This window comes from Homo sapiens, chromosome X, assembly GCF_000001405.40.
Source record: "Homo sapiens chromosome X, GRCh38.p14 Primary Assembly".
Lineage (NCBI taxonomy): Eukaryota > Metazoa > Chordata > Mammalia > Primates > Hominidae > Homo > Homo sapiens.
The window spans coordinates 12,837,212-12,853,641 of record NC_000023.11 but is presented as its reverse complement, the minus strand read 5'-3'; the positions used below and the strand labels follow the sequence as shown (position 1 = coordinate 12,853,641).

At 40.4% G+C, this 16,430-nt stretch overlaps 1 pseudogene, besides 1 other annotated feature; it reads left to right on the top strand.

Moving 5' to 3' along the window:
- On the top strand, window positions 8,209–8,725 carry MRPL35P4 (mitochondrial ribosomal protein L35 pseudogene 4; annotated as a pseudogene).
- Window positions 9,327–9,646: an enhancer, noted in NCBI's record as "active region_29412". NCBI's record gives its function as "activates an Ori minimal core promoter by ATAC-STARR-seq in GM12878 lymphoblastoid cells {active_cell/tissue: GM12878}" and the evidence as "EXISTENCE:reporter gene assay evidence [ECO:0000049][PMID:35858748]".

The following is a 16,430-nucleotide window of genomic DNA, read 5'->3' as shown; positions in this document are numbered from 1 at the left end:
AAATGACCCGATGGAGCTGAAAAACACAGCACGAGAATGTCGTGAAGCATACGCAAGTATCAATAGGTGAATCAATCAAGCAGAAGAAAGGATATCAGAGATTGAAGATCAACTTACAAATATAGGGCGTGAAGACAAGATTAGAGAAAAAGAATGAAAAGGAAGGATCAAAGCCTCCAAGAAATATGGGACTATGTGAAAAGACCAAACCTACGATTGATTGGTGTAGCTAAAAGTGACAGGGATAATGGAAACAAGTTGGAAAACACACTTCAGGATATTATCCAGCAGAACTTCCCCAACCTAGCAAGACAGGCCAACATTCAAATTAAGGAAAAACAGAGAACATCACTAAGATACTCCTCGAGAAGAGCAACCCCAAGACACATGATCATCAGATTCTCCAAGGTTGAAAAGAAAGAAAAAATATTAAGGGCAGCCAGAGAGAAAGGTCAGGTTACCTACAAAGGGAAGCCCATCAGACTAACAGTGGATCTCTCTGCAGAAACCCTACAAGCCAGAAGAGAGTGGGGGCTAATATTCAACATTCATAAAGAAAAGAATTTCCAACCCAGAATTTCATATCCAGCCAAATGAAGCTTCATAAGCAAAAAAGAAATAAAATCCTTTCCAGAAAAGCAAATGCTGAGGTGTTTTGTCACCACCAGACCTGCCTTACAGGAGCTCCCAAAGGAAGCACTAAATAGGTAAAGAAAAACCAGTACCAGCCACTGCAAAAACACACCAAAATATGAAGACCAATGACACTATGAAGAAACTGAATCAATTAATGTGCAAAATAACCAGCTATCATCATAATGACAGGATCAGATTCACACATAATATTAACCTTAAATGTAAATAGGCTAAATGCCCCAATTAAAAGACATGGACAGGCAAATTGGATAGAGTCAAGACCCATTATTGGTATGCTGTATTCAGGAGACCCATCTCACGTGCAAAAACACACATAGGCTCAAAAGAAAGTGATGGAGGAATATTTACCAAGCAAATGGAAAGAAAAAAAAGGGGGGGGGGTTGCAATCCTAGTCTCTGATAAAACAGACTTTAAACCAACAAAGATGAAAATAGACGAAGAAGGGTATTACATAATGGTAAAGGGATCAATAAAACAAGAAGAGCTAACTGTCCTAAATATATATGCACCCAATACAGGAGCACACAGATTCATAAAACAAGTTCTTAGAGACCTACAAAGAGACTTAGACTCCCACACAATAATAGTGAGAGACTTTAACACCCCACTGTCAATATTAGACAGATCAACGAGACAGAAAATTAACAAGAATATCCAGGACTTGAATTCAGCTCTCGACCAAGCGAACCTAATAGACATCTACAGAACTCTCCACCCCAAATCAACAGAATATACATTCTTCTCAGGAGCACATCGCAGTTATTCTAAAAATGACCACATAATTGGACGTAAAACACTCCTCAGCAAATGCAAAATAATGGAAATCACAACAAACAGTCTCTCAGACCACAGTGCAATCAAATTAGAACTCAGGATTAAGAAACTCACTGAACACCGCACAACTACATGGAAACTGAACAACCTGCTCCTGAATGACTACTGGGTAAATAATGAAATTAAAGCAGAAATAAATAAGTTCTTTGAAACCAAGGAGAACAAAGATACAATGTACCAGAATCCCTGGGACACAGCTAAAGCAGTATTAAGAGGGAAATTTATAGCACTAAATTCCCATATCAGAAAGTTAAAAAGATCTGATATCGACACCCTAACATCACAATTAGCTAGAGAAGCAAGAGCAAACAAATTCAAAAGCTAGCAGAAGACAAGAAATAAGATCAGAGCAGAACTGAAGGAGATAGAGACACAAAAATCCCTTCAAAAAATCAATGAATCCAGGAGCTGGATTTTTGAAAAGATTAACAAAATAGATAGACCACTAGCTAGACTAATAAAGAAGAAAAGAGAGAAGAATCAAATAGACACAATAAAAAATGATAAAAGGGATATCACCACTGATCCCACAGAAATACAAACTACCATCAGAGACTACAATCAATACCTCTACAGAAATAAACTGGAAAATCTAGAAGAAATGGAAAAATTAATGGACACACAAACTCTCCCAAGACTAAACCAGGAAGAAGTCAAATCCCTGAATAGATCAATAACAAGTTCTGAAGTTGAGGCAGTAATTAATAGCCTACCAACCAAAAAAAGCACAGGACCAGATGTATTCACAGCCGAATTCTACCAGAGGTACAAAGAGGAGCTGGTACCATTCCTTCTGAAACTATTCCAAACAATAGAAAAAGAGAGACTCCTCCCTAACTCATTTTATGAGGCCACCATTGTCCTGATACCAAAACCTGGCAGTGACACAACAAAAAAAGAAAATTTCAGGCCAATATCCCTGATGAACATCAATGCAAAAATCCTCAGTAAAATACTGGCAAACTGAATCCAGCAGCACATCAAAAAGCTTATCCACCATAATCAAGTCAGCTTCATCCTTGGGATGCAAGGCTTGTTCAACAAATGCAAATCAATAAACGTAATCCATCACATAAACAAAACCAATGACAAAAACCACATGATTATCTCAATAGATGCAGAAAAGGCCTTCAATAAAATTCAACATCCCTTCATGCTAAAAACTCTCAATAAACTAGGTATTGATGGAACATATCTCAAAATAATAAGAGCTATTTATGGCAGACCCATAGCCAATATCATACGGAATGGGAAAAAGCTGGAAGCATTCCCTTTGGAAACCGGCACAAGACAAGGTTCAACATAGTATTGGAAGTTCCGGCCAGGGTAATCAGGCAAGAGAAAGAAATAAAGCATATTCAAATAGGAAGAGAGGAAGTCAAATTGTCTCTGTTTGCAGATGACATGATTGTATACTTAGAAAACCCCATCATCTCAGCCCAAAAACTCCTTAAGCTGATAACCAACTTCAGCAAATTCTCAGAATACAAAATCAATGTGCAAAAATCACAAGCATTCCTATACACCAATAACAGACAAACAGAGAGCCAAATCTAGTGAACTCCCGTTCACAATTGCTACAAAGAGAACAAAATACCTAGGAATCCAACTTACAAGGGACGTGAAGGACCTCTTCAAGGAGAACTACAAACAACTGCTCAAGGAAATAAGAGAGGACACAAACAAATGGAAGAACATTCCATGCTCATGGATAGGAACAACCAATGTCGTGAAAATGGACATACTGCCAAAAGTAATTTATAGATTCAATGCCATCCCCATCAAGATACCATTGACTTTCTTCTCAGAATTAGAAAAAGCTACTTTAAATTTCATATGGAATAAAAAATGAGCCCATATAGCCAAGACAATCCTAAGCAAAAAGAGCAAAGCTGGAGGCATTACACACTACCTGACTTCAAACGATACTACAAGGCTGCAGTAACCAAAACAGCATGATACTGGTACCAAAACAGAGATATAGACCAATGGAACAGAACAGAGCCCTCAGAGATAACACGACACATCTACAACCATCTGATCTTTGACAAACCTGACAAAAACAAGCAATGGGGAAAGGATTCCCTATTTAATAAATGGTGCTGGGAAAACTGGCTAGCTGTATGCAGAAAATGGAAACTGGACCCTTTCCTTACACCTTATTCAAAAATTAACTAAAGATGGATTAAAGACTTAAATATAAAACCTAAAACCATAAAAACCCTAGAAGAAAACTTAGGCAATACCATTCTGGACATAGGCGTGGGCAAAGACTTCATGACTAAAACACCAAAAGCAATGGCAACAAAAGCCAAAATTGACAAATGGGATCTAATTAAACTAAAGAGCTTCTGCACAACAAAAGAAACTATCATCAGAGTGAACAGGCAACCTACAGAATGGGAGAAAATTTTTGCAATCTACTCATCTGACAAACGGCTAATATCCAGAATCTACAAAGAACTCAAAGAAACTTATAAGAAAAAAACAAACAACCCCATCAGAAAGTGAGTGAAAGATATGAACAGACACTTCTCAAAAGAAGACATTTATGCAACAAAGAAACATGAAAAAAAAGCTCATCATCACTGGTCATTAGAGAATTGCAAATCAAAACCACAATGAGATACCATCTCACGCCATTTAGAATGGCAATCATTAAAAAGTCAGGAAACAATAGATGCTGGAAAGGATGTGGAGAAATAGGAATACTTTTACACTATTGGCGGGCGTGTAAGCTAGTTCAACCATTGAGGAAGACAGCGTGGCAATTCCTCAAGGATCTAGAACCAGAAATACCATTTGACCCAGCCATCCCATTACTGGTATATACCCAAAGGATTATAAATCATTCTACTATAAAGACACATGCACACGTATGTTTATTGCAGCACTATTCACAAATGCAAAGACTTGGAACCAATCCAAAAGCCCATCAATAATAGACTGGATAAAGAAAATGTGGCACATATACACCATGGAATACTATGCAGCCTTAAAAAAGAATGAGTTCATGTCCTTTGTAGGGACATGGATGAAGCCGGAAACCATCATTCTCAGCAAACTAACACAGGAACAGAAAACCAAACACCGCATGTTCTCACTCATAAGTGCGAGTTGAACAATAAGAACACATGGACACAGGGAGGGGAACATCACACACTCGGGCCTATCAGGGGGTGGGGAGCAAGGGGAGAGACAACATTAGGACAAATACCTAATACATGTGGGGCTTAAAACCTAGATGTCGGGTTGATAGGTGCGGTAAACCACGATGGCACATGTATACCCATGTAACAAACCTGCACATTCTGCACATGTATCCCAGAACTTAAAGTAACATTTAAAAACTAATAATTTGTAATATCTCATATAGATTCTGTATTCACATTTTTTCAATTTGTCCCCAAAATATCTTTTATAGCTTTATTTTCTTTCTGATTCAAGAACTACTCAGTGTTTACATAGTGAGTTTGATTGTGTCTCTGTAATTTCTCTACAATCTTTGCATATGTAATAACTTCTTAAAAATGTATATCACCGCCAAAGATAACTTTAAGTTTTGTCACAAAAGTGTTACCATGATTGGCAGACCTGTATTTCTAGTTATATGCTGGATTGTTTTATATGTTCAAACAGGAACATTTTCTTCTAGGACAAAGCCTTAAGGTTTTGAAACAGTGCTGTGTTAAAGCTGAACAACAGAAAAACACACCAAACCTGACACTGTTGTTTAAAAGCTATGAGAATTTTCTGTCTCCTTAATAGAGAGTGAGGCAGTGAAGTTAGTTGTATTCTTTGTTTCTTTTGCTTTTCTTCTCTCTCTCCCCTTGAGACATTTTGAATGGGGCTTTTAGTTGGCAAATATAGGGCAATAGCTTTTTAACTTTTTCTTCAATTTTGCTGGAAAATACATAGTCATATGGTAAGAACTTCTACGTAGTAAATGGAAAACTAGAGACAGAGAAACAAAGGAAGAAAGGGAGAGAGTGAAGGAAAGAAAGAGAGAAGGAAAGAAAGGGTGGGGAGGGAGGGAGACAAGGCAGGCCGGCAGAAAGGAAGGAAAGGAAAGAATGAAGGACAGGAGAAAAGAAAGAAGAAAAGAAGGAAGGAAACAAAGAAGGAAAGAAAAGCAGATTGAATGGAGCTTTTGGTTAGGCAAATATAAAGCAAAGGCCTTTTTTATTTTTTATTTCATTTTAATACATATTTGTGTGGTACAGAATTCTTACATAGAGCTGAATAGAAAGATATGGGGTGTGTGGGACAGAGAGAGAGAGAGAGAGACAGAGACTGTGTACTGTGTCGGAGGTCCCCAAGACTCCGCCACCCCAGGCTTCGTGATCCACTAGGAGTCGCAGAACTCAATAAAGTATGGTCACAGCTATGATTTATTGCAGTGAAAAGATACGAACCAAAAGCAGCAAAGGACAATGGTGCATGAGGTGATGCCCAGAAGAAACCAGGCCCAACCTTCCAAGCATCCCCTCCGACTTTAGTCACATGGATGTACTTGATTCCTTCTGCAACAAATTGAGAAAACACATGCCAACTGCTGTCTACCAGGGAGGCTCGTTAGAGATTCAGTGCCCAGGGTGTTTACTCGGGGCTGGTCATGTAGGCACACTCTGCCCAGCACATACCAAAATTCCAGCCTCCCAATAGGAAAGCAGGTGTGCAGCAAAAACCATATTATTTGTACAAACAGTGTAAGAGCAGTGAGCCACTCTTCTTAGTTCTGGGAATGGTGGGAACCACCCTGAAATCCAAGTTCCCAGACATGAGCCAAAGGCCAACCTTACAAGCAGGCCTTTCTAAGGAGAGCAGTCTCAGGCCTGCCATGTTTCTTGGTTTTTTGTTTTTGAGATCGAGTTTCACTGTTGTTGCCCAGGCTGGAGTGCAATGGCGCAATCTCGGCTCATTGCAACCTCCGCCTCCTGGGTTCAAGTGATTCTCCTACCTCAGCCTCCCGAGTAGCTGGGATTACAGGCGCCCCCCACCATGCCTGGTTAATTTTTTGTATTTTTAGTAGAGATGGGGTTTCATCATGTTGTCCAGGCTGGTCTCGAACTCCTGACCTCAGGCGATCCACCCTTGGCCTCTCAAAGTGCTGGAATTATAGGCTTGAGCCATGGCAACTGGCTACCATGTTAACTCTTTTCTGTACAGATAAATGTATCTATACATACATCCATGCATATACATACATATATACATACATACATAAATACATAGGTAGATACATAGTAAAAACTTTTCTGCTCTTCTTGTAGACCATCCACCCAATCCCACACCCATCCCCACAAGAAACCATTCTTATTAGTTCCTTGCTTATCTTTCCAGAGTTTCTTTAGGCATACTAGCAAATAAAAACATATTCTTCTGGCCCTGCCTTTGTCATACTTCGTTAGCATATACTCTCTTACTCTCTTGTTTTTTTCATTTGCAGTTCCTTCTATACCTTTATCTCAGGAGCATCTGCATTTTTTTTTTCTCATAGCTGGAAAACATCCCATTTTCTAGAAGTTTCACAATTTACTTAACCATTTCTCTAACGGACGTTTGGGTGGTTTCTGATCTTTGGTATTGCAAGCACTAGTGCGATAAATAGCCTTGGGCCTCCGAAAGATCTTCTTCTGAAGAGTTAGCTGTGGCTCCAGTGAACTACCCCAGTCTGAGTGATGGCACAGAAGATCCTACGTTATTGGTCTAGTCCCCCATCTGTAAATTAGCTCAAGAGAGATCACTGGATGGAGAGGATACAGTTCTTCTCTTTATCTTTTGAGAACTGGCCTCTCACTGGCTGGGGCAACTCACACTTTGTTTTCTAGGTCTTGTTGTATTTCTCCTTTCTTTTTAGGTGGAAATGAGGAGGACTGGGAACAGCCCTTGGTGGGTAGGTAAGGTTTAGTGTAGGGTTGCCAAATTTAGCAAATCGGGACATGCTTCTACTAAAAAATTATTTATTATCTGAAATTCAAATTTAATTGGGTGTCCTGTATTTTATCTGGCCACCCTAGTTTAGTGCCATATTTTATTCTATTTTACTTATTTATTTTTAGAAACAGGGTCTCACTATGTTTTCCACACTGGCCTTGATCTCCTGGTCTCAAGCAATCCTCCCACCTTAGCCTCCCAATTTTTTTAGATTATAGGAGTGAGCCACCATGCCCAGCAGTACCATATTTTAATCTAGAGATTTAAACATTGAAGGATTCCTGGGGTGAATGCTCTGAAATGAAAAGGAAGGTCAGACTTGATCAGCATCCAGAGTGGTGATTGAACAAAGATATGGTCGTGGACAGAAGACCTAGATTTGAGTCCCGGCTCTGCCATTTGACTCAGACATAGACATCAAAGTGGTTCAATAGAAACTTGGCATTGGCTGGGCGTGGTGGCTCACGCCTGTAATCCCAGCACTTTGGGAGGCCAAGGCGGGCGGATCACCTAAGGTCAGGAGTTCGAGACCAGCCTGTACAACATGGTGAAACCCCGTCTCTACTAAAAATACGAAAATTAGCTGGGTGTGTTGGCAGGCACCTGTAATCACAGCTACTCGGGAGGCTGAGGCAGGAGAATTGCTTGAACCCGGGAGGTGGATGTTGCCATGAGCCGAGATCACACCATTGCACTCCAGCCTGGGGGACAAGAGCGAGACTTCATCTCAAAAAAAAAAAAAAAAAAAAGAAAGAAACTTGGCATCATAGCAGGCTGGCAAGATGGCTGCCTCTGCCTTTGCTGGTGCGATGAGAGCAGCTTCAGGAATCTATGGCTCCTGAATATTTTTGCATCTCCAGCCCACCGAAACTGTGCCAGGAATGCCTCTCTTATTTCTGCATTGTCTACTGGACGTTTTAGTCATATTCAGACACCATTTGTTTCCTCCACTCCCAGGCTGATCACATCTGTCAGAAACCTGACATGTGGGCATACTGCAGTGATCCCCAACAGAGTGGCCCCCTTGCTTCCAAGTGTCCTGAAGCTGCCAGTCAGAACTGTAATATACGTCAGTACACAAAAAGGCAAGAGAACAACTGTGAAAGCTGTTATCTATAGGTTTTTTCGACTTCATTCTGGCCTTTGGGTGAGGAGAAAGGCTGGTTATAAGAAAAAATTCTGGAAAAAGACACCTGCAAGAAAAAAGCAATTGAGGGAATTTGTGTTCTGCAATAAAACCCAGAGTAAACTCTTAGATAAAATGACAGTGTCCTTCTGGAAGAGGTGAAACTTGTATGCTGATAATCCTTATCAGAAATATCTTTATGAAACAAACCTGAAAGTATAGATCAGAAGTTTCACTTGTTTCTCAGTTATTGAATATGTATCTTTGTGTACATGACATCTTTGCAAAAATAGGTAAGTATAAAACCGATGTAAATTGTACCAGTTAATATGTAAACATCCAATGCCAACATTAAACTTATAAAAGTATTTAAACTTAAAAAAAAAAAAACTTGGCATCATACATATTCTCCCAAAGCTGGAAAAACACCTCTTTACTGATAGGAACCTAAATAAACCCCTTAAACAAGTTGCCCGAGTCTAGTTAATGCTGTGTTGCCAGCATGTGGAAGTATAAAGTCTCAGGTTGCTTTATGCAACTTGCTTGGTTTGGATGAACGTGTGAGTGAGAGGTAGGTATGAATCCCACTGCCTTACGGTTCATGCTAGTTTTTTCCACTCTCAGATGCTGTAAGTCAGGGTCTGCTTGATGAAAAGGAGGACTTTGATGACAAGTATCATGGTATTTGTATAACAAGTCTAAAAGTTTTAATCCCTTCAGTTAGATACAACCATGGACATTTTTCAAGTAATAATATTTTTATTAGAAATTTGCAGATACCTTGAGCCTGTTCTTTGTAATGACATGGAAAAAGAACACAGCCTACATATCCCTTTGTATATAGGATATTTTTAGCATTGTAAAGCCCCGGTGTCATAATTAACCTTGTCTTTTGTTTCTCATTCCCCTTTTAAATGAAAGTATGAAGCACTTCACTGCTTAGTTCTTCCGTAAGTTTCATTTTACTGTGAAATGAAAGTGTTCTGAAGATATCCTTGACAGGATATGCAAACGAATGTAACAAAAACCTTCCTTTGTGTTGAAGGCTGGTCCTAAGTACATACTAGATTTCACCAGACGAGTCCAAAAGGTCAGATGCTTTGAAAAAAGGCCCCCAGTGCAAATAATCGAGTAGTTGACCTGGTGAAAAAAAGGAAAGACTATTTATGCATGCATTGGTCTTTGAGCTGTTCCGCCTGCTGTCTTGTAAACTCAGAAGCAGTTTTCCTGAGGTGGGTATTACTGACCATCTAGCTCACCATCTGAGACTCATAAGTAGATTTGTGAGTGGTGAGGTGTAGTGAAGACCACTTGTTTGGGATTCAACATACATGGCCAGCCAATGAAAATGTTAACTCACATCTGCATATGCCTTCATCTTGTTATGGAACTGGAGGCACCATCATTCATAATGCTTAAAAATAAAACACCTGCAAGGCAGCTATTGTTAAAACCTAACTCGCCCACAAGAAAGCTGATGCTCAACGAAGTCAAATCTCTAGTAATAAAACTGGGTTACTATTCATATCTTGACTCTACTACCCAAGTTCTTTCTGTAAGTCATCTAAACAGCCAGGACCTCAGCAATCTGACTAGATAAAAACAAAAAATTCTTCTTGAGTTTATGATCCTAAGGGTTTCTTTTTCATATCTAAGGGTTTCTTTTTCATATCTAAAGCAGGTATTCATATTAGATGCTGTCACATTTTGCTTATCTCTTGCTGTGTAACAAACCAACCCAAAACATATCTGCTTAAAACAGTAACCACTTTATTTGTTCATGATTCTTTGGTTGGCTGGGGCTCTGCTGGGCTGTTCTTTGGTTGGTTTCAGTTGGGGTCTCCTGTGAGGTTGTAATCAGATGGCTTTGTTCACATGTCTAGTTCCCCAGTGGGGAAGGTTGAGAGGGAGTGATCTTTTCCTCTTTTCTTCCCCATGTGGCTAGCTTGGGTTTCTTTTCATGGTGGTTTGATCCTGAGAGTGAGCATTTCAAGAGACATAAGCTCCAGTGTGCCAGCACTTATCAAGCATTTGCTTACATCATTCTTGCTAATGTCCTATTTATTGGCCGAGCCCGAGGTTAATATGGAAGGATACACCACAGAAGTGTGAATACCAGGAGTTATGGTTCATCGGGAACCACCAAAGTAGCAATCCACCACTTGTAGTATATACAACAGAAATGTAAAAAAATTCATATTTAAGCCAAGATCTGTTGTTCCATATTTTTTTGAAGAATATTGGATTCAAAACATATTACTTTAGAATACTATGCAGCCTCCAAAAGTCACACATTAGAATACTACATGACATGGAAAAAGATACTATGCTAAGAGTAAACCAAAAAAAGTTTCAAAACAAGTATTTGTTTGTATGTATACTCCACTTTTAGCCATTGTTATTGCTGATGATTTTCATTACTTGTCTTTGCATTTATCAAAATTTTATCAGTGCATATATACTATTTTTAATCAGTAATAAAGTATTTTTGCAATTGAAGAAAAAATCTAAAAATAGTATTGCAATAATCGGTGATAGGTTAACAAGGTTTGAGTATGCTTATATAATATTATTTATATTGCTATATTGCTTTATAGATCCTGGAAAGTAAAATATTTGTAGTCAATAAAATAAAGTTCTTACAGAAATGCAAATAAAACAATACCCCAGTACTGTTAAATTATCAGATTGGAAAACAGGAAAAAGATGATCAATTCACAGTGTTTGTCAGGATTTAGGGACTTTGGGTGAGAGTGCAAATTGGTACAACATTTCTGGCAAGCAATTGAAATAGATCAGGATTTTAAATGGGCATTTCTTTGTAGGAATTCTTACTAAAGAGGAAAATGTTTTAAATTCTCCAAACTGTAGCTACTGACCTGTACTGATTTGTGGAATTAATGGTGGTGATTTGTCCCTTTATATACTTTCTGCCATTCTTCATACCTTCTACATGTAGTTTCCCAAAGCTGATACACATTAATGTTGAGAGGAGGTGGCAGAACTTGAAAGCTTCATGGCCCATGACCTTAAACTGGAGCTTCTCAATTTCGGCTGCACACCGGAATGGGATCATTACAAAGTTCCTGATTACTATGTTGACACCAAAGCTTCTGATTTAACTACTCTTGGGTGTAGTCTGGGTATTTGGAATTTTCAAGGCTGCTCATGTGATTCCAATTGATAACCAAGTTTGAGACCAACAGGCATAGTCAAAACTCTCTTGACTGAACTGACCTGAAATTCCACTGGTTAACCTGCATTCTCCTTACCTTCTGTTAAAAAAAAAAAAAAAAAAAAAAAGTTGGCCGATTTCTTATTAACATCTCAATTTGATAGGCTGTCAGTACATATGACTTATTGCTCTCAACAGTTGAGTTGTTTTCCTAGAGCCAGTTGTATCTGTTTCTAAACCTTTTATTCTCTATTTGTTTTTTTGTTTTGTTTTTTTTGAGACAAAGTCTCACTCTGTCACCCAGGCTGGATTGCAGTGGTGTGATCATGGCTCACTGCAGCCTTGATATTCCAGGCTCAAGCAATCCTCTCATCTCAGCCTCCTGAGTAGCTGGGACCACAGGCATGCACCACCATGCCCAGCTAATTTTTAAATTTTTTGTAGAGACAGGGTCTCGCCATGTTGCCTAGGCAGGTCTTGAACTCTAAGACTCAAGCGATCCTCCTGCCTCTGACTCCCAAAGTGCTGGAATTACAGGCGTGAGCCACTGCACTTGGCTCTAAAACATTACTTTTTAAAGCCAATACTCATATTACTGAAATCATTGGAAATTACTTAGATATTGAGTGTTTGTTGAATCCCTTATTACAAATGACTTAAATACTTTTAATTTTAATGTTTTTTGATAATAACTGCATTTTTGCCAATGGACTATGAATAATATAGGAACATTACCTTATACTTTGTGCTGCTAGAAGACCAGCATTGTCTTTGTCTTTCCATAAAACCAAAGCATTAGTAACAACTGAAATATCCCAAGCAACCACAACAGTGCCCGGCAATTATAGTTGTTGGTTAAGTGAGTACAAATATCAGAAACTTCTGCTCTAGGTACATTCAAACCTTGAGGTAAGTCAGAAACTTGTATTCTCTGCCATTGTCCACCAAGTTGGCATAACTTTTCAGCTGACAAGATTTACCATGAAATATAATTAAATTTGAGTATAACTTACCAGAGCCAGAGCCATTTTTATCAGAGAAGGAAATGATCCTTCCTTACGCAACAGACAGGGACCATTACATTAGCAACTAGCATGGACTTAACTATCAGGGTGGTTTTCAACTTTCTCCTGAGGTTTTTGGTGATGCAGATGCTGCTAGTCCAGGGCCTCACTTTGAGAACCACTGCCTTACAGATCACCATTATTTAAAAAATCTCCATTACCCAGTGTTGTTATTTTGGTTCTCATGTTAGCATAACGACCTGAAAAAGGACCACGCAAACACAGTGAGTGAAATGAAGACCTTGTTTTTGGAGGAAGGCAAAGGACAACCAAATCAGTGGATGCAAGTATTTCAGGTTCTGATGGAAGTTACCGTACCGTATTTTTTGCTTTTCCTCACTGCCCTGAGGTTTAATAAGCTCCTTCACTGTTATGCACTAGTGATTAGAATCATTGAAGTTGCCTGGGTTAATGCAAACATCTCTGCTTAAAGAACAGAAAAGCCCCCATTTTCTTTTTGTTGTTGTTGTTGTTGTTCATTTGTTTGTTTATTTTGAGACAGAGTCTCTCTCTGTCACCCAGGCTAGAGTGCACTGGCTCAATCTCAGCACACTGCAATCTCTGCCTCCCTGGTTCAAATGATTCTCCTGCCTCAGCCTCTGGAGTAGCTGGAATTACATGTGTGTGCCACCATGCCCGGCTAATTTTTGTATTTTTAGTAGAGACGGGGTTTTACCATGTTGGCCAGGCTGGTCTCAAACTCCTGACCTCAAGTGATCCACCCACCTCAACCTCCCAAAGTGCTGGGATTATAGTCGGGAGCCACCACGCCTGGCCGAAAAGCCCCATTTTCTACCCCCAGCTTTTCCTCTAGGGAACTGTGTAACCTTACTAAGCCAGTTACTTAGTCTCTTTGAGCCTTAGTTTCCTCATCTGTAAAATAAGATGGGAATCATTCAGTCATGAATGTTCCATCTAACTCCAAAATCTTATCAATTCCATGACCTTTGACAGACGTAATGGGCTCTGTGATTTGACCACAGATGACTTTTGCCATTTTGGCCCATAAGAGTTAAATTACCAGGTGGCTGGGAAGATGGCCAAATAGGAACAGCTCCGGTCTGCAGCTCCCAGCAAGATCAATGCAGAAGGTGGGGGATTTCTGCATTTCCAACAGAGGTACCCAGCTCATCTCTTTGGGACTGGTTAGATAGTAGGTGCAGCCCACGGAGGGTGAGCAGAAGCAGGGTGGGGTGTCATCTCACCTGGGAAGTGCAAGGGGTCGGGGAACTCCCTCCCCTAGCCAAGGGAAGCCATGAGGGACTGTGCCATGAAGAACAGTGCATTCCAGCCCAGATACTATACTTTTCCCACAGTCTTTGCAACCCACAGACCAGGAGATTCCTTTGGGTGCCTATGTGACCAGGGCCCTGGGTTTCAAGCACAAAACTGGTTGGCCATTTGGGCAGACACTGAGCTAACTGCAGGAGTTTTTTTTTTTCATACCCCAGTGGCGCCTGGAACACCAGCGAGACAGAACTGTTCACTCCCCTGAAAAGGGGGCTGCAGTCAGGGAGCCAAGTGGTCTAGCTCAGCGGATCCCACCCCTACAGAGCCCAGCAAGCTAAGATCCACTGGCTTGAAATTCTTGCTGCCAGCGCAGCAGTCTGAAGTTGACCTGGGATGCTCAAGCTTGGTGGGGGAAGAAGTGTATGCCATTACTGAGGCTTGAGTAGGTGGTTTTCCCCTCACAGTGTAAACAAAGCTGCCAGGAGGTTCGAACTAGGCATAGCCCACTGCAGCTTGGCAAAGCCACTGTAGCCAGAATGCCTCTCTGGATTCCTCCTCTCTGGGCAGGGCACATCTGAAAGAAAGGCAGCAGCCCCAGTCAGGGACTTATAGATAAAACTCCTATCTCCCTGGGACAGAGCACCTGGGGGAAGGGGCGGCTGTGGGCACAGCTTCAGCATATTTTAATGTTCCTGCCTGCCAGCTCTGAAGAGAGCAGTGGATCTCCCAGCACAGTGCTCGAGCTCTGCTAAGGGACAGACTGCCAACTCAAGTGGGTCCCTGACCCTCGTGCCTCCTGACTAGGAGACACCTCCCAGCAGGGGTTGACAGACATCTCATACAGGAGAGCTCCAGCTGGCATCCAGTGAGTGCCCCTCTGGGATGAAGCTTCCAGAGGCAGGAACAGGCAGTAATCTTTGCTATTCTACAGCCTTCGCTGGGGATACCCAGGCAAACAGGGTCTGGAGTGGACTTCGGCAAACTCCAGCAGACCTGAAGCAGAGAGGCCTGACTGTTAGAAGAAAAATTAACAAACAGAAAGCAATAACATCAACATCAACAAAAAGGATGCCCACACAAAAACCCCATCTGCAGGTCACCAACATCAAAGACCAAAGGTAGATAAATCCACAAAGATGAGGAAAAACCAGTGCAAAAAGGCTGAAAATTCCAAAAACCAGAATGCCTCTTCTCCTCCAAAGGATCACAACTTCTCGCCAGCAAGGAAACAAAACTGAATGGAGAATGAGTTTGACCAATTGACAGAAGTAGGCTTCAAAAGGTGGGTAATAACAAACTCCTCAGAGCTAAAGGAGCATGTTCTAACTCAATGCAAGGAAGCTAAGAACCTTGAAAAAAGGTTAGAGGAATTGCTAACTAGAATAACCAGTTTAGAGAAGAACATAAATGATCTGATGGAGCTGAGAAACACAGCACGAGAACTTTGTGAAGCATACACAAATATTAATAGCCGAATTGATCAAGTGGAAGAAAGGATATCAGATATTGAAGATCAACTTAATGAAATAAAACGTGAAGACAAGATTAGAGAAAAAAGAATGAAAGGAACAAATAAAGCCTCCAAGAAATATGGGACTATGTGAAAAGACCAAACCTATGTTTCATTGGTGTATCTGGAAGTGATGGGGAGAATGGAACCAAGTTGGAAAACACTCTTCAGGATATTATCCAGGAGAACTTCCCCAACCTAGCAAGACGGGCCAACATTGAAATTCAGGAAATACAGAGAATACCACAAAGATACTCCTCGAGAAGAGCAACCCCAAGACACATAATCATCAGATTCACCAAGGTTGAAATGAAGGAAAAAATGTCAAAGGCAGCCAAAGAAAAAGGTCGGGTTACCCACAAAGGGAAGCTCATCAGACTAACAGCAGATCTCTCCGCAGAAACCCTACAAGCCAGAAGAGAGGCCAATATTCAACATTCTTAAAAAAGGAATTTTCAACCCAGAATTTCATATCCAGCCAAACTAAGCTTCATAAGCGAAGGAGAAATAAAATCCTTTACAGAAAAACAAAGCTGAGAGACATTTTGTCACCACCAGGCCTGCCTTACAAGAGCTCCTGAAGGAAGAACTAAATATCAAAAGGAAAAACTGGTACCAGCCACTGCAAAACGTACCAAATTGTAAAGACCGTCGACACTATGAAGAAACTGCATCAACTAATGGGCAAAATAACCAGCAAGCATCATAATGACAGGATCAAATTCACACATAACAGTATTCACCTTAAATGTAAATGGGCTAAATGCCCCAATTAAAAGACACAGACTGGCAAATTGGATAAAGAGTCAAGACCCATCAGTGTGCTGTATTCAGGAGATGCATCTCATGTACAAAGACACACATAGGCTCAAAATGAAGGGATGGAGGAATATTTA